A 21,115-nucleotide genomic window follows, 5' to 3' on the forward strand; every position below is an offset into this window, starting at 1 on the left:
CCTTTTGCCAATATCATACTGTTTTGATGTGTCAATGATACTTTATGTCAAGACACATTAAAATGGATAGATAGCCATTAGAATTAGTTATTTGTGTATCACTTAACGTCACCTCACAAATTGTTGGTGGTACATGTCATATTTAGAAGACATTGCACATTTTTAGGAAATACATACCTTTGCATTGTTGGGCAGCAAACTAGGCTCAAATACTCATCATCACATTTATCAGCTTGAAAATGCTTGGCAGAGAACATTCAGTGGAGGGGTTAAAACATATGGAGTGAAGTACATTGATCTTGGGCACAGAAGTCAGAAAGAGACAACTGTCTTTATTGTGTTAATTTTCATAAAGTTACTATTTAGGAGAACAACCAGTCTTTCTATCCCATGACTAAGACAAAGGGCCTTATCAGCTTTAGGGAGATTATGGTTAAGTAAACATTAGAGCTTTTTACTGTAGAAAATAATGCATAGTGCATGTAAACCTTTAATGCCTTTATCTCTCAGAGACTTCACTGTGGTGGGAGGAGTGCTGTGACCTGTGGAAAGTCGTGGAAATTTCAGGGATTGCAGTCGTGATGGCTGTGATTCCAGATGGAGTCATAGTTTACAGTGTAGTGCAGGAGTTGGCAAGTATTCTTTATGTCAAGGGTCAGGTGGTAAATGTTTTAGGCTTTGTAGGTTGTACGGCCTCTGTCGTGACTACTCAGATCTGCTATATGCCTGAGTTTCAGCAAACCTTTGTGTACCAAAAAAGGCTAGGCCACAGTTACTTGACCCCCAATCTAGAGGAAAAGACAGGAAGAGAAAAGAAAGTTATGTATTATAGCACTTTACTTTTGAGTAAACTATATTGATATATAACACACAGAGAAGAACAGAAATTGTGGTTGGCTCAATGAATTTTTCTCAAAGAGAACTCACTTATGTAGTCAGCACCTAGATTAAGAAAGAAGACATTAAGTGGCACCCTAAGAAATCTTCACTGTGCTCCATCCCAGTAAGGACCCTCCTTGTTGCGACTAGCCACTTTGCTGATTTCTAACAACGTAGGTTAGTTTTGCCTATTTGTTTAACTTTTTAAATAAAATGAAACCATACAGATTGTTTTCTTACGTCTGGCTTCTTTTGGTAAAAATGTGAGATTTGTCCGTGTTTTTATGTAGAGCAGAAGTTTGCTCATTCTCACTGTTTGATAGTATTCCATCATAAAATCTCCTCCAACATATTTGCCCCTTCTGTTGTTGGAGGGCATCTGTGTTGCTTTTTGTTGCTGCTGTTGTAAATTGTGCTACTGTGAATGTTTAAACATGGCGTTTGGGTGCACATACGTACACATTTCTGTTGGAGATGTACCTAGGAGTGGAACTGCTGGATTATAAGTTATGCATGTATTTAGCTTTAGTTGATGCTGCTAAATAGCTTTCAAGAGTGGCTATAGCAATTTTCATGCCCTCTGGCAATATATGAGATTTCCAGTTACTTTCTTTTCTCATCAATCTGTGGTATTGTCTGTCTTTTTAGTTGTAGCCATCTGATGGGTGTGCATCTTAAAAAGTATTTTAAAAGTTATTTCATATTTATTATATAACTTGGATCTTAACAACCCTGTGAGTAGGTAGGACAGAAATCATTATCTTTATCTTTGGGTGAAGAATCAGGCTGAGAGAGTTTATTTGGCTTGCTGGAGACTCACAGCTCTTGGCAGGAATGAGACTCACCCTCAAGTCGTCTGACTCCAAGTGCTGTATTTATCAGTGTCTTCCCAGTCTCTGCTGTGTATCTGTATTTTGATATACAGATATCCACCTTTCAAGATGCATGTTTTATTGAACATGGGGACAGAATCTCAGAATGGGCTCTCCACAGTTCTCTGTGGCGCTCTTTAGCTCTATTTATCTAAAAGTTAATATGTGTGTTGTTTTGATGTTCACACAAATTGTATGTTTGTAGAGGTGAAAACAGAATAATGGCAGCAAACAAAACAAGAAATTATGCTATATATAGAAAATTAGTTTTTTGCACTGTCAATGGAAGCACTCTACTTTGCAATATGCTGCTGGATCATTTTCAGAAAGGCCCTGTTACTTTCAGATCCTGAGCCTAGAATTCTTAGAGTTCTGGTTAAAGGTAAGGCTATAGACACTTGAGGTGTTATTTTGTTATAATTTAATATGCTGTGGTTTTTTTAAATTTGGGTAATGTGTGTGTAGTGCATGAATATACATTTACCCAAGTTTACAGTCTTTCTTTAGAAATACAAATTTACAGGTAGTAAAGCAAGTATTTCAAAGGGGGTCGATGTTTCTTTAAAAAATGAGGGAGACCGGCCGGGTGCGGTGGCTCACGCCTGTGATCCCAGCACTTTGGGAGGCCGAGGCGGATGGATCACCTGAGGTTGGGAGTTAGAGACCAGCCTGACCAACATGGTGAAACCCCATCTCTACTAAAAATACAAAATTAGCCAGGCGTGGTGGCACATGCCTGTAATCTCAGCTTCTCAGAAGGCTGAGGCAGGAGAATCGCTTGAACCCAGGAGGTGGAGGTTGCAGTGAGCTGAGATTGTGCCATTGCACTCCAGCCTGGGCAACAAGAGTGAAACTCTGTCTCAAAAAAAAAAGAAAAAGAGGGAGACGTTAATAACATTAAGCATGAAAAGAAAGAGTTTACACGAATACAACGAATACATACAGATACTGACAAAATTAGCATTGAAAGAACACCTGGGTAAAGGTGAATTTTTTTTTTTTTTTTTTTTTGAGACGGAGTCTTGCTCTGTCACTCAGGCTGGAGTGCAGTGACGTGATCTTGGCTCACTGCAACCTCCGCCTCCCAGGTTCAAGTGATTCTTCTTTACTGCAACCTGTTTTATCAGCAAGGTCTTTATAACCTGTGTGTGTGTGTGTGTGTGTGTGTGTGTGTGTGTTTTCTTTCTTTCTTTTTTTTTTTTTTTTGAGATAGAGTCTCGCTCTATCGCCCAGGCTGGAGTGCAGTGGCGTGATCTCGGCTCACTGCAACCTCCACCTCCCGGGTTCAAGCGATTCTTCTGCCTCAGCCTCCCAAGTAGCTGGGATTACAGGCACGCACCACCATGCCCAGGCTGGAGTGCAGTGGTGCAATCTCACCTCACTGCAACCTCCACCTCCCGGGTTCAAGCGATTCTCCTGCCTCAGCCTCCTGAGTAGCTGGGATTACAGGCACGCGCCACCACACCCGGCTAAGTTTTATATTTTTAGTAGAGGCAAGGTTTCACCATGTTGGTCAGGCTGGTCTCTAACTCCTGACCTCGTGATCCACCCACCTCGGCCTCCCAAAGTGCTGGGATTGCAGGCGTGAGCCACCGCACCCGGCGTCGTTTTTGTATTTTTAGTAGAGACAAGGTTTCACCATGTTGGTCAGGCTGGTCTTGAACCCCTGACCTCAGATGATCCACCTGCCTCGGCCTCCCAAAGTGTTGGATTACAGGCGTGAGCCTCCGCGCCCGGCCAGGTGAATCTGTTCTTGGAAAACAGTCTGCTGTAATAATATGAGCGAACCGACACTATTAAGGACCACTTAATGAGTTTCTGAACAGATATTTATCATGTCACAGTTTATTTCATACATTTATTATGGCAAATACCAAAGTTTTGGAATATAATTGTTTCATTGGAACTACTCATGCCTTTGATAATTGGGTACTTTGGCTTGGCTCCTAATTGAATCAACAGTCTTAGGCTTACATATTAGTATACATTGTTGTTGATAAAATCCAAATTTGTCTGTCGTTTTTACACTAGGCTCAAAGTAGCAACTGGGTTTTTTTTTTTCTTTTTTTTTTTTTTCTGAGATGGAGTTTCAGTCTTGTCATCCAGGCTGGAGTTCAATGGCACGATCTCGGCTCACTGCAACCTCTACCTCCCAGGTTCAAGCCATTCTTCTGCCTCAGCCTCCTGAGTAGCTAGTATTACAGGCACGGGCCACCACGCCAGGCTGATTTTTTATTTTTATTTTTAGTGGAGACAGGGGTTTGCCATGTTGGCCAGGTTGGTCTGAAACCCTTGACCTCAGGTGATCTGCCTGCCTCAGCCTCCCAAAGTGCTGGGATTGCAGGCATGAGCCACTGTGCCTGGCCCAGCAACTGGTGTCTTATCTCAGAAGCCATTATCTTAAGAGGAGTGGAAGCAAAATTAATTAGGAGAGTATCCTGGATTATTAATTGAAAATTATTACTAGCTATGCCACTGGTTTAATTATGTGATTTTTACTAAGTGGCTTAATTTCTCTGGATGTTAGTTTTCTTATCCACAAGGGCATTGATAATATGACTGGCCTTCCCCCCACCCCCCATAAAGATTATTTATTTTATGTTTAATTCTTTTTTGTTAATACGTTATCACCATTCAACCTTCACCCGTGATAATTATGTACCTCTCCTTTACCAGCCCCCATTCCCAGTCAGATAGTTGCCTTTTTCACAGGGAACCAATGCTACTTTTTTTCTGTGGTTTTACAGGAACATTTTTTGAATATACAAGCAAATGCATGGTGCATCTCTGCTCCACCCCCCTCAACTTTTTTTTTTTTTTTTAAGAAGTGATACCATAGCCTGGTGCGATGGCTGACACCTGTAATCCCAGCACTTTGGGAGGCCGAGGTGGGCAGCTCAGCTGAGGTAGGGAGTTCGAGACCAGTGTGACCAACATGGAGAAACCCCATGTCTACTAAAAATACAAAATTAGCTGGGTGTGGTGGCGCATGCCTGTAATCCCAGCTACTTGGGAGGCTGAGGCAGGAGAATCGCTTGAACCCGGGAGGCGGAGGTTGCGGTGAGCAGAGATCGCGCCATCGCACTCCAGCCTGGGCAACAAGAGTGAAACTCTGTCTCAAAAAAAAAAAAAAGCGATACCATTCAGAATATATTACTTTTCCTGTTGAATACAGGTTAGGGATGAATTTTCCATATGAGTTACATTTCATTTCCATTTGAGTACCCACTTATGAGTAAATACATTTGAATAGATAATTGGTAAAATTCAGAAAGGGCAGGAGTCTTCTCTGGCTCTCCCAACTTCTCAGTGCAGGTGCTTTTGAGTGACAGGTGAGAGCTCCTTCTTGGAAGAAAGCAGGTGCCTGTGGCTGGTGCTGTTACCCAGTCCGAGCATTTGGCTTTCTGAGGGACTCTGCAAAGAAAATAATGCAGACTTATTTCAGCTGGCTCCTGGGAACAACCACATGGCCCAGGTATGTGTGTATAAAATAAGAATAGTCAAAGGGTACTTAACAAGCTGGAAAAAGATTAAATCTAACGTAGGCAGTTTTGAGGTGGAGAGCATGAGCCGGTGAGGCTGAAATGTGGGAATCAGATAAACTGGTTTTGGGAGCTTCAGACAACTGGGAAGAGGTTAAAAAAAAAAGCTATTAGGGCCTATCTATTTCCAAATATTTAATGTGTATTTGTTAGGTACACATTACATGCCAGGCTTTGTGAAGCAAAAAGGGCTCCAGGATCCAGACACTTCAGAGTTTCACCTGATAAAGTCCAGCTGTGTTAAAACCTGAACGCTGACAAATGTGGCAGGAGCAGTAGAAACAGGGAAGAAAGTAGAAGGGAGTTTTAAATAAAAGAAGAGGCCGGGCACAGTGGCTCACGCCTGTAATCCCAGCACTTTGGGAGGCAGAGGTGGGCGGATCACGAGGTCAGGAGTTCGAGACCATCCTGACTAACACAGTGAAACCCCGTCTCTACTAAAAATACAAAAATTAGCCCGGCATGGTGGCGTGCGCCTGTAGTCCCAGCTACTCAGGAGGCTGAGGCAGGAGAATCACTTGAACCTGGGAAGTGGAGGTTGCAGTGAGCCAAGATTGCACCACTGCACTCCAGCCTGGGCTACAGAGGGAGACTCCGTCTCAAAAAAAAAAAAAAAAAAAAAAAAAAAAAAGTAAAGAAGAGACCGGGCGCAGTGGCTCACGCCTGTAATCCCAGCACAGGGAAGAAGGTAGAAGGGAGTTTTAAATAAAAGTAAAGAAGAGGCTGGGTGCAGTGGTTCACGCCTGTAATATGAGCACAAGGAAGAAGGTAGAAGGGAGTTTTAAATTAAAGAAGAGGCCGGGTGCAGTGTCTCACGCCTGTAATCCCAGCACTTTGGGAGGCTGAGGCGGCGTCAGGAGTTCGAGACCAGCCTAACCAATGTGGCGAAACCCTGTCTCTATGAAAAATGCAAAAATTAGCCAGGCATGGTGGCACATGCCTGTAATCCCAGCTACTCTAGAGACTGATGCAGGAGAATTGCTTGAACCTGGGAGGTGGAGGTTGCAGTGAGTGGAGATCACACCAGTGAACTCTAGCCTGAGTGACAGAGTGAGACTCCATCTCAAAAAAAAAAAAAAAGGAAAAGTAGAGAAAGGGTGGTAGAGATGACCTAAAGCGGTAGCAATTTGGAGTGGCCTGATGCCTGTCAGGTGTTCCAGGCATACTTCTAACGACAGCATCTGGTCTCAGGATGAGAGGGTGGGAGCAGTGTGGGTGCCTGGCCAGGGGGCTGTTGTCTTAGAGGAATAGGGGGTGACGGAGTAGGGTTCTGAGGGTGGTGCACACTGACAGCAGAGTGAGGAAGATCAACCATATGTTAGAACGATTTTTATTCAAAATGTAAAAACAAAAACATAAAAAGCTTGGGGGTTAGGTCAGTTATTTTAGAAAGTACTCAGAAGCTGAAACTGTTATATCTCTCATTTTAATATGAAATACATCATTAAGATTTATGGATAACTGAGATTTTAAATGCACACTGCTTACGAGTTTGTCATAAGAGGCCAATTTGAGTTAAATCCATGGAATGCTATAAATGCAATAAGTTTTGTTGGAACTCGGCATCCAGTAGACATTTTGTATAAATCAATGTAGGGTCTCTAGGTGGGGAATAAAAGACCTTTGCCATTAAGATTTAGCTGGTTAGCCTGATTGCTGGGCCTGATCGGGGAAGAAGAGCCATTTTTAAGATAGCTTATCTGGTGCCAAGTCATGACAGACCAGGCCTGAATACAGTCATGGAATAGCAGGATTATGGAGTGATGGGTAGGGCATTGAATAAAGAGATGGCCGTGGTCCTAAGTTATTGGCAGGCCCTTGTCCTAGTAGCTACAGGAAACATTGTCTTATTTATTCCGCACAACTGTGAGATAGGCTTTCTTATTTTTGGGGTGGTAAACAGCTATTATTCTATTTAGAATATTTATGTAAAGCCTTAAACTGATTTTGAAACTAGTCTCTACTTAAGGCAAACAAAGCTGCTCATTTTCTGATCATTGTGCAATCAGTTTTTGTTTAATTTTGATAGTTTAAAGTTCTTGGTAGCAGAAAGGGTGAATAATTAAAGCAAACAGTGGTCATATTTTTATGTGTGAGGTGGCTGTGTGGGTAAACTGCCTTGGAATTCTACATATGCACCCCCTGTGTATAGTGAACTCTTACAGTGACCTACCCTCTGTCTTCTTAGGGGGCAGAAACAGGTAGCTGAAAAGTACTGTTCTAGATCTTAGATTTGATAACAGTTAAACGCAGGCAGCTTTGTGCATATTTTGGTATGTGTGTTTGTGCATGAGTGGCAGAGAATACCTATTCTGACTTGGGAGGCATTAGGAATGTCTGCTGCTAAAAACCTCAAGTCCTTCTTTTAGCTGTCTTTAAAAAAAATGCAGCTGGGGCTGGGCACGGTGGCTCATGCCTGTAATCCCAGCACTTTGGGAGGCAGAGATGGGTGGATCACGAGGTCAGGAGCTCGAGACCAGCCTGACCAACATGGTGAAACCCTGTCTCTACTAAAAATACAAAAATTAGCCAGGCGTGGTGGCGCACACCTGTAATCCCATCTACTTGGGAGGCTGAGGCAGGAGAATCAATTGAACCCGGGAGGTGAAGGTTGCAGTGAGCAGAGATCGCACCATTGCACTACAGCCTGTGCAACAGAGTGAGACTCCATCTTAAAAAAAAAAAAAAATTAGCTATCCCCCAGAAGGCCATCCCATGAAGAGGCGGTCATTCATTTGATCACATGTTTCTTTGATCACTGGTCCCCTAATGGATTTGATGACCTCTGTGGCTGCAGAGACCCCTGCACAATGGAGGTGTGTGGAGACGTGTGCATATGTGCAGGTGTGGGTATGCTGTTCCAGCAGGGTCCACAGTCTCCTGCAGCCTAGCTGGGGCTCCTTTCAGTTAAAAGCCCTTATCTAAGGATGCATTAATTAAGGACTGTCTCTTTTTAAAAAATAGAGACAGTCTCGCTATATTGCCCAGACTGGTCTCAAACTACTGGCCTCAAGCAGTTCTTCTGCCTCCACCTTCCAAAGTGCTGGCATTACAGACATGAGCCACCATGCCCAGCCAGGATGCATTAATTTGATAGACCTCGTTCTGAACAACAGATACTCTGGGGACCAGAAATTTGAATGAACTTGAAGGCATGATGGACCAAAGGTGTTATTTGAGGCCTGGGACACTGCCCAGAAAGGGCTGACTTTGAGCAGAAGGAAAGCAAGCGAAGTGGGGGCAGTGGAGGCCACCACGTCCTGGCAGGAAGGTGTCAGGGTGGAAGGTGCTTCCACAGAGCGAAGGGAACTGGCTCCCTGTACAAAGGTGTGCCCCTAGGTAGAGCAAGAGTCTAGACCGCCATTGGGTTTCAAAATTATGCTCAGTGTGGAAACTAAACCATGTTGTTGTTTTTAAACAATTTTCCAGTCATACTTTAATTTGAATTACTGTTTTAAGTTTGTGTCTGAACCAAATTAATTCTGTGTTATATCACTGTTTGGAAGAAGAGACTTACCGAAATAATTATTATTTTTTGAGTTTGTTAACGTGCAGAGTCTTGCTTCTTAAGATAACTCTTTTTCTGGAAAATTCTTAATTCATAAGTAAAGCAACAACATTTTTCTTTTTTTTTTTTTGAGACGGAGCCTCCCTCTGTTGCCCAGGCTGAAGTGCAGTGGTGCAATCTCGGATCACTGCAACCTCTGCCTCCTGGGTTCAAGCGATTCTCCTGCCTCAGCCTCCCTTGTAGCTGGGATTACAGGCGTGCGCCATCAAGCCCGGCTAATTTTTGTATTTTTCGCAGAGGGGGTATCACTATGTTGGCCAGGCTGGTCTCAAACTCCTGACCTCTGGTGATCCACCCACCCTGGGCTCCCAGAGTGTTGGAATTACAGGCATGAGCCACTGTGCCCGGCCTCGACATCATTTTTCAATTTTAAATGTATAGTCCGTATCTCCTAGGGTTTTATCTATCAATTTCAGTTAATTCCTTCTCATTTTTGGGCAACATATTAAGTAGTTTCAACATAGAGGCTGTGAAAATTGTTTTATCATCCTGAGATAGCTTTTTAATTTTGCATTTCAGAAATTAAGTTGAGCTCTTTTATTAATGTACTCAGCCTTTAGGTTAAAACACTTGTAACTGTGTTCTGAAAACCCAATTTTCAACAGACATTTTATTTGTCTCTTCCTAACCTCGAAGCTGTTTCTTACCATACTACACAGTTTTCCAAGGGAATTGTATATCAATTGCTAGGGTCCCAACAATCATTTTATTTTATTTATTTTTATTTATTTATTTTTTTTTTAGGCAGAGTCTCACTCTTTCACCCAGGCTGGAGTGCAGTGGCGCGATCTCAGCTCACTGCAAGCTCGGCCTCCCAGGTTCACGCCTTTCTCCTGTGTCAGCCTCCCGAGTAGCTGGGGCTACAGGCGCCCACCACCACGCCCGGCTGATTTTTTCTGTGTGTCTTTAGTAGAGACAGGGTTTCACCGTGTTAGCCAGGATGGTCTTGATCTCCTGACTTCGTGTTCCACCCGCCTTGGCCTCCTGCCTCCCAAAGTGCTGGGACTACAGGCGTGAGCCCCTCCGCCCGGCCCCAGCAATCATTTGATTTGGGCCTGGGAAGTCATAAAACATTTGCTGTTAGTTTTAGTGTAGAAATTTTGGAAGTATGGTCTTTGAACAGGATGTGAATATAGTTAAGAATAAATAGAATAAAAATTATGCATATCTTTTTCTTAGTAGACTCACTTTTTATGTATGAAGTTGCAGTCTTTTGAATTGCATTGTATTTCTTGAAGCCGGAATTTGCCTTTTCTCAAGGTTCTGCGGAATAATGTTTGCAGCTGTTGCTGACTTCCTCCACCCTGTCTCTGTGCCCCTCCCATGTGGGCTTCACCTACCTCCTGTCTTTTGGAATCTCCAGGTCCTTGCTACAAGGCAGATTCAACTTTCAGCCAGGAGACTTTTGGCAGAAATGGGAACTGCAGGCTGTTTTCTCAAAACAAAGATTTCAAGGTCTATAGAACATTTCAAGTGCCTGTGTTTATCACACAAACTCTTGAGAACAAGGGGCTTTCTTGAGCTACTTGGTTCTTCAGCTTACCCTGTACTCTACTCCCAAGTTTCTGAAGTCTAATATTTTTGGATCAAATTTGATACAAATAGCTGTGTGTAACATATTTCTGGTCTTCACATAGCAAAGTATATTACGTATTTATGTCCAAATTATAACACTTGAAGTATATTTATTTTTAAAAATTGTAGAGATTTAGGGCATCTTTATTTTACGGCATTTTTGACAAGTTTTGTGATTATTCTGTGATATGTTATTTGTCATATATAGTCTTATTTGAAAATACTTTTAAGTTAAAAGCACTTTACCTGGGTGGGTTTATAGAAGCTCTTTGTAAAAATTGAGGATTGTCTGAGGCATTGCAGTCTTGTCTTCCTGAACCTCCTAAGCCATGTCTATATATGAGAGAGCAAAGGTTTTATTTTTAAGAGACAGGGTCTTGCTCTGTGGCCCAGACTGGGGTGCAGTGGTGGGATCATCGGTCACTACGCCCCGAAACTCTTGGACTCAAGAGATCCTTCCACCTCAGCCTCCCGAATAGGTAGGACTACAAATACGTGCCGCCATGCCTAGCTAATTTTTTAGTAGAGATGGGGTCTCACTGTGTTGCTCAGGCTGGTCTTGAACTCCAGACCTCAGGCAATTCTCCTGCCTTGTCTTCCCCAAGTGCTGAAATAAAAGGCACGAGCCACTGTGCGTGGCAGTTTTTCTTTTTTACTTAATCTTGTTTTGCAGCAGTTTTGAGACATTGAGTTTGTGAATTAGCATTTAAAGGCTTTAATATTTCTACTAGAGTTTTGTTTACTGAGTGGTTTAAGATACTGGAGTTTTGTTTACTGAGTGATTTAAGAAACAATGTGGATTATTGATGAAATCTTAAAGTGATTTGGAGGTGAAATGCGTCAGTGGTTTGTAGTGACTTTGAAACACTATACAGTAGGTTCACATGGTTTAAGAAGCATCATTATGGCTTTTGTGTGTTTTGGTGTGTGTGGCTGTGAAGCCTCAGGAATTTAGTTTAAGCTTCTGAAAAGCCCACCAATATGTATTTAGAATTCTGTTGTCCCATATCTTAGTCATCTCAATGTTTCTCATTTCTAACTTTAAAACATGTCAATTAAAAAAATTCAGTATATCATTAATTTCGTCTAAAATGTCACATAAATCTCTGACATAATTTGGTTTTTAAACAATAACCAATAATTTGGTTTTATTTATGTGATGAGAATAACAACTGGTATTTATTGTCTATACTTATGCAATTTTATAGATGGAGTTTTAACATTGAATGCGGAGAACACTAATTATGCCTATCAAGTTCCAAACTTCCATAAATGTGAAATCTGTCTACTATCTTTTCCAAAAGAATCCCAGTTTCAACGCCACATGAGGGATCACGAGCGAAATGACAAGGTATGTATTTTCAAAGGTGATGTCAGGAATGTGAGCGTTGAAACTGGAGGTATTGTAAAAATGAACAAGTAAAATCAAAACTTTTAATTTAGGTTCCTAAATAGTAGAACATTTTATATTCTACAAATAAATATTTTGGCCTTTTTAAAAGTTGTAGTTGTATTCCTAGCTATTATTTGATAAGGCGAGAGAGTGAGAGCTTGTCCTGGTGAATTTGTATATTGAAGTTACTTATTTGTGGACAAATAATTGTTTAAAAAATATGACTTTTTAAAAGTAGTTTCAATTTCCTGTATGACTGAACACAGAAGTGGTGTGTTTTGAAGTATTTTTCTCCAGTGGGGAGTTTTATCTTTAAGTGATCTTGCATTTAAAAATGGTATTCTAGATGTTTTAGGTTGTGTTTCAGGAGGGAGCAAATATTACATACTATCTTAAATAGAAATTTGCACTCTTTTTTGCAGTACCTCTTGTGGGATCTGTCAAGAATTTTAGTGCCTTAATGGAATGATTTTCCTGATAGATGGAAAGTGACAGTTAAAACTATAATTAAAAAAGTGATTGTCAACTTTTCTCTAGGTAGGAGCATGTAAGCTAGTGAGCCATTTGAGACTGGAAAAACACCATGGACCTCCTTTAGAGAACAGGATGTGACCATCTCAGGCTTGACTTTCAGCACAAATGGTGCTGCTGTAGCTATGATAATATAATATAAATATAATATACCAGTATGCACCAGTATTATTTTCTCAGGTTCGACAATCTGAAGATACTGACTTATTCCTCATTAGGATCTTGTTACTTCAGAGATAAATACCAGTGATTATCTTTTTACAAGTGAATAGCAGAATACCTTCCATTATGGGAAAATCTTAGACCTAGATAAGCAAACTCTGTTAAAATCTAGTAAAATTTTTTATGATTATTTTACCTGAAGTGTTTTTGTTTTTTTTTTGAGATGGAGTTTCACTCTGTTGCCCAGCCTGGAGAGTGGCACCATCTTGGCTCACTGCAACCTCCTTCTCCCAGGTTCAAGCGAATCTCATGCCTCAGCTTCCCGAGTAGCTGGGATTACAGGCATGCACCACCATGCCTGGCTCATTTTTATGGTTTTAGTAGAGATGGGCTTTCGCCATGTTGGCCAGGCTGGTCTCGAACTCCTGACCTCAGGGTGATCCGCCTGCCTCAGCCTCCCAAAGTGCTGGGATTACAGGTGTGAGCCACCACCCCCGGCCTGCTTGAAGTGATTTTGTTTATAATGATGGATTTGGTCAGAAATAGAAGGGAAAAATCCAACTTAATGAGTTGAAATTTTTCAGAGACTACAATCCAATGAATTTATACGCAGCTTTTTCTTTCTTTTTTTTTTTTTAAAAAAAAGCTTCATCATAAACTCTATTATTTCAATGAATAGAAGAGTTTGACAGAAAATGTTTGGAAGAAAACATTGAGAATACATTATTAGAATATGTTTCTTTCTCTATGTGTTCATTTTACAGCGGTACCCATACACACTTACAAACGGCAAATGTAAGCATGCATACTTAGACGTTCAACACAAACCCATGTCATGCAAACACATGGAGAAAGAAACCTTTTTTTTTTTTTTTTTTTTGAGACAGAGTCTCGCCCTCTTGCCCAGGCTGGAATGCAGTAGTGCAATCTTGGCTCATTGCAACTTTGGCCTCCCAGGTTCAAGTGATTCTCTTGCCTCGGCCTCCCAAAGTGCTGGGATTACAGGCGTGAGCCACCGTGCCTGGGCACAGAAATATGTTTTAATAACATGTTTTAAAGGTTATCTTTGAAAGGTGTTTCATTGTCAAACACTTATACTCACTGAAAGAAAACAGCTTATATACAGCATTTCTTATTAGAAATATTTCTTTTGTGTATGTATGTGTTTTCATCCTTATAATCCTTTCAGTAATTCTGTCAGGTGCTTTACTGTGTTTATTTTGGATTTATTGACTTAAGAGCCAGAGGAGACTTCAGAAGTTTCTGTAGATTGTCTGTACATTATGGTACTTGTTAATATTTTCATTTATTGAACAAGCATCTGTGAAAAGATTGTATTTCAGTGGCTTCTTCACTTTTCTCTCCAAATAGCCACATCGATGTGACCAGTGCCCCCAAACATTTAATGTTGAATTCAACCTGACACTTCATAAATGCACCCACAGCGGGGAAGATCCTACCTGCCCTGTGTGTAACAAGAAATTCTCCAGAGTGGCTAGTCTCAAAGCGCATATTATGCTACATGAAAAGGAAGAGGTAATCATCATCATTTTGCATATACTTTGTTAACTGATTGTTAAAATACATCTGATCATGAGTCAGGAGGATTTTAGATATAAACTTGTTTTGAAAGCCTTTTGTGTAGATTTCAAGGAGTGAATTGTCATTAGATTTGCCTTGACACCAGTTGACTGATAAGACATTTTATTTTCTGGCCCTGTCAATGCCTTAGGGTAGAGACATTTTAATGTGTAGTATATTTGAAGGATCAAAGTATATCCACATTGGCTGGCAGAGGCTCCTCCTGGCGCCTCACCCTCCTCTTTGTAAACAGAAACTAACATTTATACGATTCTGCCATGGCCAAAAGTAACTTTTCTGCTTTGAAGATGGTAGAATCTCCTTGCTTGCTCCTGGGTCCTCTGACTGTGAGAATCTGAGGGAAGAGAATCATTTCATGATGGCCCAAAGCAGCTTATACACCAAAGTGACCACTCCTGGGAGCTCCACAGGCCCAATGTCTGGGACAGCTTTGAGGATGACAGGCCACAGTGCTGGGTTGGGGGCTGAATCTAAGGTGCCAATGGCTATTGCTTAAAAAATATGCTCCTCCTTCGTCAGGTGCAGTGGCTCATGCCTGTTATCCCAGTGTTTGGGAAGCTGAGATAGGAAAATTGCTTGAGGCCAGGAGTTTGAAACCAGCCTGGACAACATAGTGAGACCCCATCTCTACCAAAAAAAAAAAAGAAAAAGAAAACCTTCTCTGAACTCCCCCTTTGCATTATTACTGTAGAAAATTAGGAAGATACAAAAAGTTAAAGGAGAAAGTCATCTCTAATTCTGAGATAATTACTGATAACTATTTGGTATATTTTCTTCCGGAGACAGAAAAACACAGTATTGAAATTGCATATTCAGACGATCCCTGACTGAAGATGGTTTAGACTTAATGTTTTTTGATTTTACAGTGGTGTGAAAGCAAACACATTTCTTAGAAACCTTACTTCTCTTGTGATGTTAGGCAGAGGCAATGAACTGCAACTCCCTGTCAGCCACACGCTTTTGGCTTGTGATATTTCCAATTCACCATGGGTTTATCAGGATGTAATCCCATTGTAAATCAGGGAGCACCTTTATAAAATTTACATTGTGAAAGCTGACTTCACACTTTCTGTTTTTTGTTTTTTTTTTTGAGATGGAGTTTCGCTTTTGTTGCCCAGGCTGGAGTGCAATGGCGCCATCTTAACTCACTTCAACCTCTGCCTCCTGGGTTCAAGAGATTCTCGTGCCATAGCCTCCCGAATAGCTGGGATTACAGGTGCCTGCCACCATGCCTGGCTAATTTTTGTATTTTTAGTAGAGATAGGGTTTCACCATGTTGGCCAAGCTGGTCTTGAACTCCTGACCTCAAGTGATCCACCTGCCATGGCCTCCCAAAATGCTGGCATTACAGGTGTGAGCCACCGCGCCTGGCCTGACTTCATATTTTCTACGTGATTTTGGATCCTGTTTTTATCAATGTCTTTACTATTTTAAAGTAATTTATTTTTATCTCAACATCTTATAATACAAGTAATGCATATTTATTTTGGAAAAAAATTAGTTATAAAGGTAACATTAAAACCACCCATAGTGGACTTTAACAAAGCTGAACACATAGAAACAGCAAAGTGGTGGTTACCAGAGGCTGGGGGATAGGGGGATTGGGGAGCTGTTGGTCAAAGGCCACAGTATTTCAGTTAGACGGGAGGAGTAAGTTCAAGAGATCTGTTGTACATCATGGGGACTAAGTTAATAAGAATACATTGTATGTTTGAAAATTGCTGGCTCGGCATGGTGGCTCATGTCTGTAATCCCAGCACTTTGGGAGGTCAAGGCGGGCAGATCACTTGAGGTCAGGAGTTCAAGACCAGCCTGGCCAACATGGTGAAACCCTGTCTCTATTAAAAATACAAAAATTAGCCAGGCATGGTGGCAGGCCCTATAATCCCAGCTACTCCGGAGGCTAAGGCGGGAGAATCACTTGAACCCAGGAGGTGGAGGTTGCAATGAGCTGAGATCATGCTATTGCACTCCAGCCTGGGCAACAGAGCAAGACTCTGTCTTTAAAAAAAAAAAAAGAAAAGAAAAGAAAAAGAAAATTGCTGTGAGAGTAGATTTTAAGTGTTCTCTCCATAAGAAATATATATGTGAGATAACGCATGCAAAACAGGTTGATTTAGCCATTCCTCAGCATATACCAAAACATCATGTGGTACACCATAAATATGTACAGTTTTACTTATCAATTTAAAAATCAATTAGTTAAAAAAATTATAAGAAAGAAAACATACTATGTGGAGAGAATGCATTTGTGGTATTTCAAACTTTTTTCTATACATGCTTTTCTTAATAGTTTATGTTTAAAATAGTTTTTTAAATACAAAAATAGGATTATGTCATTATACAGACTACTTTTGTAACCTACCTTTTTCCATAATATATTGTAAATACCTGCTCCCTCTTTTCACTCATCATCAAAGTTATCACTCATTATCAAATATTAATATTTTAAATTATTAAAATCTGCAGTATCTCGGGTGGGTGTGGCAGCTCATGCTTGTAATCCGAGCACTTTGGGAGACCGAGGCACTTGAGCTCAGGAGTTTGAGACTAGCCTGGGCAACATAGACTGTCACTACAAAAAAAAAAAAGTCTTTGGCATCTGGATTTAGCATAGTAAAATTTAATAGTTTTCATCATTGTTTAACATTTACATTGTTTATATTTTTAAATATTGTAAGTAATATATCTTTGCATATGAATCTTCTTATGCATCTTTAATTATTTCCTTAGGATGGATTCCTACAGTTAGATTAATTGAATTAACAAATAAGACTTTTTTCCCCCAAGTTCTTTATAGAATGCCATATGACATTCTAGAAAGTACATGCCAATTTAACACCTTCTCTTGCAGAGTTTAGGAATGCCTGTGTCACTTATCAATAGTGCTATTCAAAAATGGCTATAGTTATATTTATATTTTTATTTATTTTTGGAGGGAGAAGAGTCATGTTCTGTCCCCCAGGTTGTAGTACAGTGGCATGATCTCAGCTCAGTGCAGCCTCTGCCTCCCAGGTTCAAGTGATTCTCCTGCCTCAGCCTCCCAAGTAGCTGGGATTACAGGCGCCCCACCATATCCAGCTAATTTTTATATTTTTAGTAGAGACGGGGTTTCGCCATGTTGGCCAGGCTAGTCTTGAACTCCTGACCTCGAGTGATCTGCCCACCTCAGCCTCCCAGAGTGCTGGGATTACAGGTATGATCCACTGTGCCTGGCCAGTTCAATTTCTTAAAAGCCGAAAATGTATTAAATAATGGTGTATTAATATATTTTGGAATAAATCCTAGGTGCACACGGTAAGAAATCAAACAATAGAGAAGGCTATAGAGAGCAAAAAGTTACGTCTCCTTTGGGTTCCTAAGTTCCAGTTTTGCTCCTCAGAAACAACTTTCATTAGCAGTTTCTTCTGTATCCTTCCAGGGACATTCTATGCCTATACACATCTCCTCTGTACCCTTATTAGTCAACCCATAATATTCTGTGCCTTTTCATCAGTTAACTATGTGTCTTAAGTGTAATTCCACATCTGTTAATCAGAGAGCTGTCACTTTCTTTTTAACAGGTGCATGGTATTATATTGTTTAAATGTGTATCATAATTAGGAAGTCACTGCTGTTAGGCATATAGGTTGTTTCCAGCCTTTTCCAGACAAAGCTATGGTGATCAAATATTTTTGTCGATGTTTGAGTTCTCAAGATGGGCAGTGTGGTATCCCAGAGGACATTTGGTTATCACTGTTGTGGGGCTGGGCGTGGGTGGGGTGCTTCTGTTATCTTGTGAGTAGAGGATGCTGCCGAACACCCTGCAGTGCCCAGCACAGCCTCCATTGCTACGAGTGACCTGGCCCAGAACATCAGTAGTGTGAGGTTGAGGAAACCCTGGGTTAATAGAAATGTGAGATATATTCCTGCAAATGGAGTTGTTAGGTCAAAGGATATGTGAATTCAAAATTTTGATATTGTCAAATTGTTTTCCAAAGAGATTTTGTCAGTTTATCCTCCAGCCAATAAATGGTGTGTAAGATTGCTCATTTCTTCATACCATTTTCTTTCTCTTTAAAAAAATTATTACTTAAAAAAAAATAGAAATCAGGTCTCACCATGTTGCCCAGGCTGCTCTTGAACTCCTGGTCTCAAGTAGTGGTTGGATTATAGGCGTGAGCCACTGTGCCCAGCCCATTTTCTTTTCTTTTTTTTTTTTTGAGACAGAGTTTTGCTCTGTTGCCCAGGCTAGAGGCACAATCTCAACCCACTGCAACCTCTGCCTCCCGAGTTCAAGCGATTCTCCTGCCTCAGCCTCCTGAGTAGCTGGAATTGTAGGCACCTGCCACCACGCCTGGCTCATTTTTGTATTTTTAGTAGAGTTGGGGCTTTGCCATGTTGGCCAGGCTGGTCTCAAACTCCTCACCTCAGGTGATCCACCCGCCTTGGCCTCCCAAAGTGCTGAGATTACAGGCATGAGCCGCTGCACCTGGCCAGCCATCCCATTTTCAATACTCTGTTGTAAAAGTTGTCTCCTCCAATCTGGTAATTTAAAGATAGTATGTTTTTGTTTTAATTTATATTTCTTTAATTATGAGTGAAGTTTAGCATCTTTCCATGTTTATTAGCCATGAATAATATTTTTATTTTAATTAAGTAATTTTTTTTTGCAAGGTGGATGTGTGGGGATTATTGGTCTTATTCTTGCAAACTTGTGTAAAGTATTTACATTCCTGGAAAGTTAGGTTTTTCTGCCTTGTGTGACAAAATTATTTCTTGGTTTCTGGTTTCATTATTTTTCTCTTCCTGGCAGAAATTTTTAAATTGTCATGGACTCAAATTTTCAGTCTGTTCATTTATGGATTCTGGTTCTTATGGCTTGATTAGAAATGCTTCCCAATTCTAAAATTATTTTCTAAAATATTCCACACGTCTGGAACATCCCACACTGATCTGCCTGGTACAGATCCTCATACATGCAGAGCAGAACTCGCATGGAAGGGATGCATCCACACTGATGCTGCAGTGTAGCCCATCCCCGCAGGGCCTCCCTGCCTCCCCCTAGTTCCCACGTGGACCACTTCTCTCGCAGGGCTTCCCCATGTCCCCCCAGTTCCTATGTGGGCTCCTTCTCTCGCAGGGCCTCCCCGCCTCCCCATAATTCCTATGTGGGGTCCTTCTCTCGCAGGGCCTTCCCCCAGTTCCTGTGTGTGCTCCTTCTCTCCCAGGACCCAGCGCCTGGCAGCACCAGCATTATTACTCACTCTCTCATCCTGAATGCTCTGAAGGAGCCGTCTGCTCAGCCAGGACCCCCATGGTCTTCCTGTCCAACAGCCCTCAGGGTTCCACATTTCTCAAGCCAGCCCCCCGACCCTACTTCAGATGGCAGGCACAATTAGATATGGTCTTCCTCCTCTGCCGTGGTTTTGTGAAGTCAGCAGGGTCACCTACTTCACTTTGCTGCCATGTGGGACCTCTCCCTTCCCATTCTTATGATTCCAGGCCTTCAGTTAACCACCCTCCTTCAGGTTACATTATCTGACACAAAAGACACAGTGCAAAGCAGAGGAGAGTAGAAGGCTCGGGGTTTAGTTTTTGAATATTTGGATATTAACCAACTGTTAAAAGTCAAAGTGACACAGGCAGGTACACTTGGAGGAGAGCCCATCTCCTGCACCCTTGCCCGCCCACTCACCTCGGCCTTTCCCGGGCTGCCTTCCTGCTCTTCTAGTGTGTCTCTGCTGTGTCTCTCTTTGTAATGAGAAGCAAATGTTTGTATGTTCTTATTTTCTTTTTCTGGCTTATCATAATGTGAAATTTAGAATTTTATATAGTTAATTATAGGCTGGTATTTTTATTGTTCTAAATATTTAGATTCAGGGGAGAACTGATCATGTTTATAATGTTGAATCTTTATGAGAACACGGAATGTGAAAACATCAGCGATGTTTGGTTACTATGGATTCAGTACACTTTTTACGTTTCTTAAGTATTTTAAGATTCTAATGATATTGTGTAGGGAGGTCTTTTGGCCATATGTTGTGTTACGTGCCTGTAGGAAAGCGATGCATTTGTGTGTGTTAGTTTTCCCTGCCATCCTCCCTGATTCTCTATGCAGCCTCATCTACACATAATAATCGGGTAGTAAGTTTTTGGTTCTGTGTTGTTGCAACTAGCATATGCGCAGTTTTTAAAAAAAAATCACCCTTATATCATTTATTCGTTTTCATAGTATGTAGCGATGGCATATTCACTTAACTTTTTATTTTGAAAAATTCCAATCCTAAGTGAAGATTTGAAATAATAGTACAATGGATATTTGTATAACCTTTTCCTGGACTCACCAATTGATAAATTTGCCAGATCTCACCTCCCCCCTTCTCCCTTTTTTGAACAATTTTCAAGTAATCTACAGATTTCACGTTATTTTACCACTAAATACTTCAGGATGTAGCCCCTAAAAACAAAGACACTTTTCTTCATTTCACAAAACAGTGATCACAGTTTAACATTGCTGTAATATCCATTTTCAGAGGTCCCTATCTGGAGGGGAAAAGAGTGACATTTTACAAGGGGAGCAGTTAGTTTTGAACAGATGAGATACTTCTCTTTTGACCCTGGAAGAAGTGGAAGAGGGCTCAGGTGGAGGCGAGTGCAGGTGGAGGAGGAAGGGGGAAAGGGCTCAGCTGGAGGCGGGTGCAGGTGGAGGAGGAAGGGGGAGAGGGCTCAGCTGGAGGCAGGTGCAGGTGGAGGAGGAAGGGGGAGAGGGCTCAGCTGGAGGCGGGTGCAGGTGGAGGAGAAAGGGGGAGAGGGCTCAGGTGGAGGCAGGTGCAGGTGGAGGAGGAAGGGGGAGAGGGCTCAGCTGGAGGCGGGTGCAGGTGGAGGAGGAAGGGGGAGAGGGCTCAGCTGGAGGCGGGTGCAGGTGGAGGAGAAAGGGGGAGAGGGCTCAGGTGGAGGCGGGTGCAGGTGGAGGAGGAAGGGGGAGAGGGCTCAGGTGGAGGCGGGTGCA

At 41.6% G+C, this 21,115-nt stretch overlaps 1 protein-coding gene and 1 long non-coding RNA gene across 8 annotated transcripts in view; one reads left to right on the forward strand and one right to left on the reverse strand.

Moving 5' to 3' along the window:
* ZNF236 (zinc finger protein 236) overlaps positions 1-21,115 on the forward strand; it is a 150,345-nt gene that overhangs the window by 15,325 nt on the left and 113,905 nt on the right. For 6 of the 7 annotated variants that reach the window (NM_001306089.2, XM_011526168.3, XM_011526169.4 and 3 more), the window contains 2 exons: positions 11,645-11,787; positions 13,894-14,058. In NM_001306089.2, coding sequence (NP_001293018.1) covers positions 11,645-11,787; positions 13,894-14,058 — 308 coding nt within the window. Of the gene's footprint in view, positions 1-11,644; positions 11,788-13,893; positions 14,059-21,115 lie in introns of those variants that run through there. The other variant, XM_011526166.3, reaches the window with a different exon arrangement.
* On the reverse strand, positions 4,996-19,891 carry LOC105372214 (uncharacterized). The gene is made up of 3 exons (XR_007066421.1): positions 19,802-19,891; positions 10,683-10,769; positions 4,996-5,165 (listed from the first exon to the last, which is right to left on the reverse strand). It is a non-coding gene; the product is annotated as an uncharacterized LOC105372214 (long non-coding RNA).

This window comes from Homo sapiens, chromosome 18, assembly GCF_000001405.40.
Source record: "Homo sapiens chromosome 18, GRCh38.p14 Primary Assembly".
Taxonomy (NCBI): domain Eukaryota; kingdom Metazoa; phylum Chordata; class Mammalia; order Primates; family Hominidae; genus Homo; species Homo sapiens.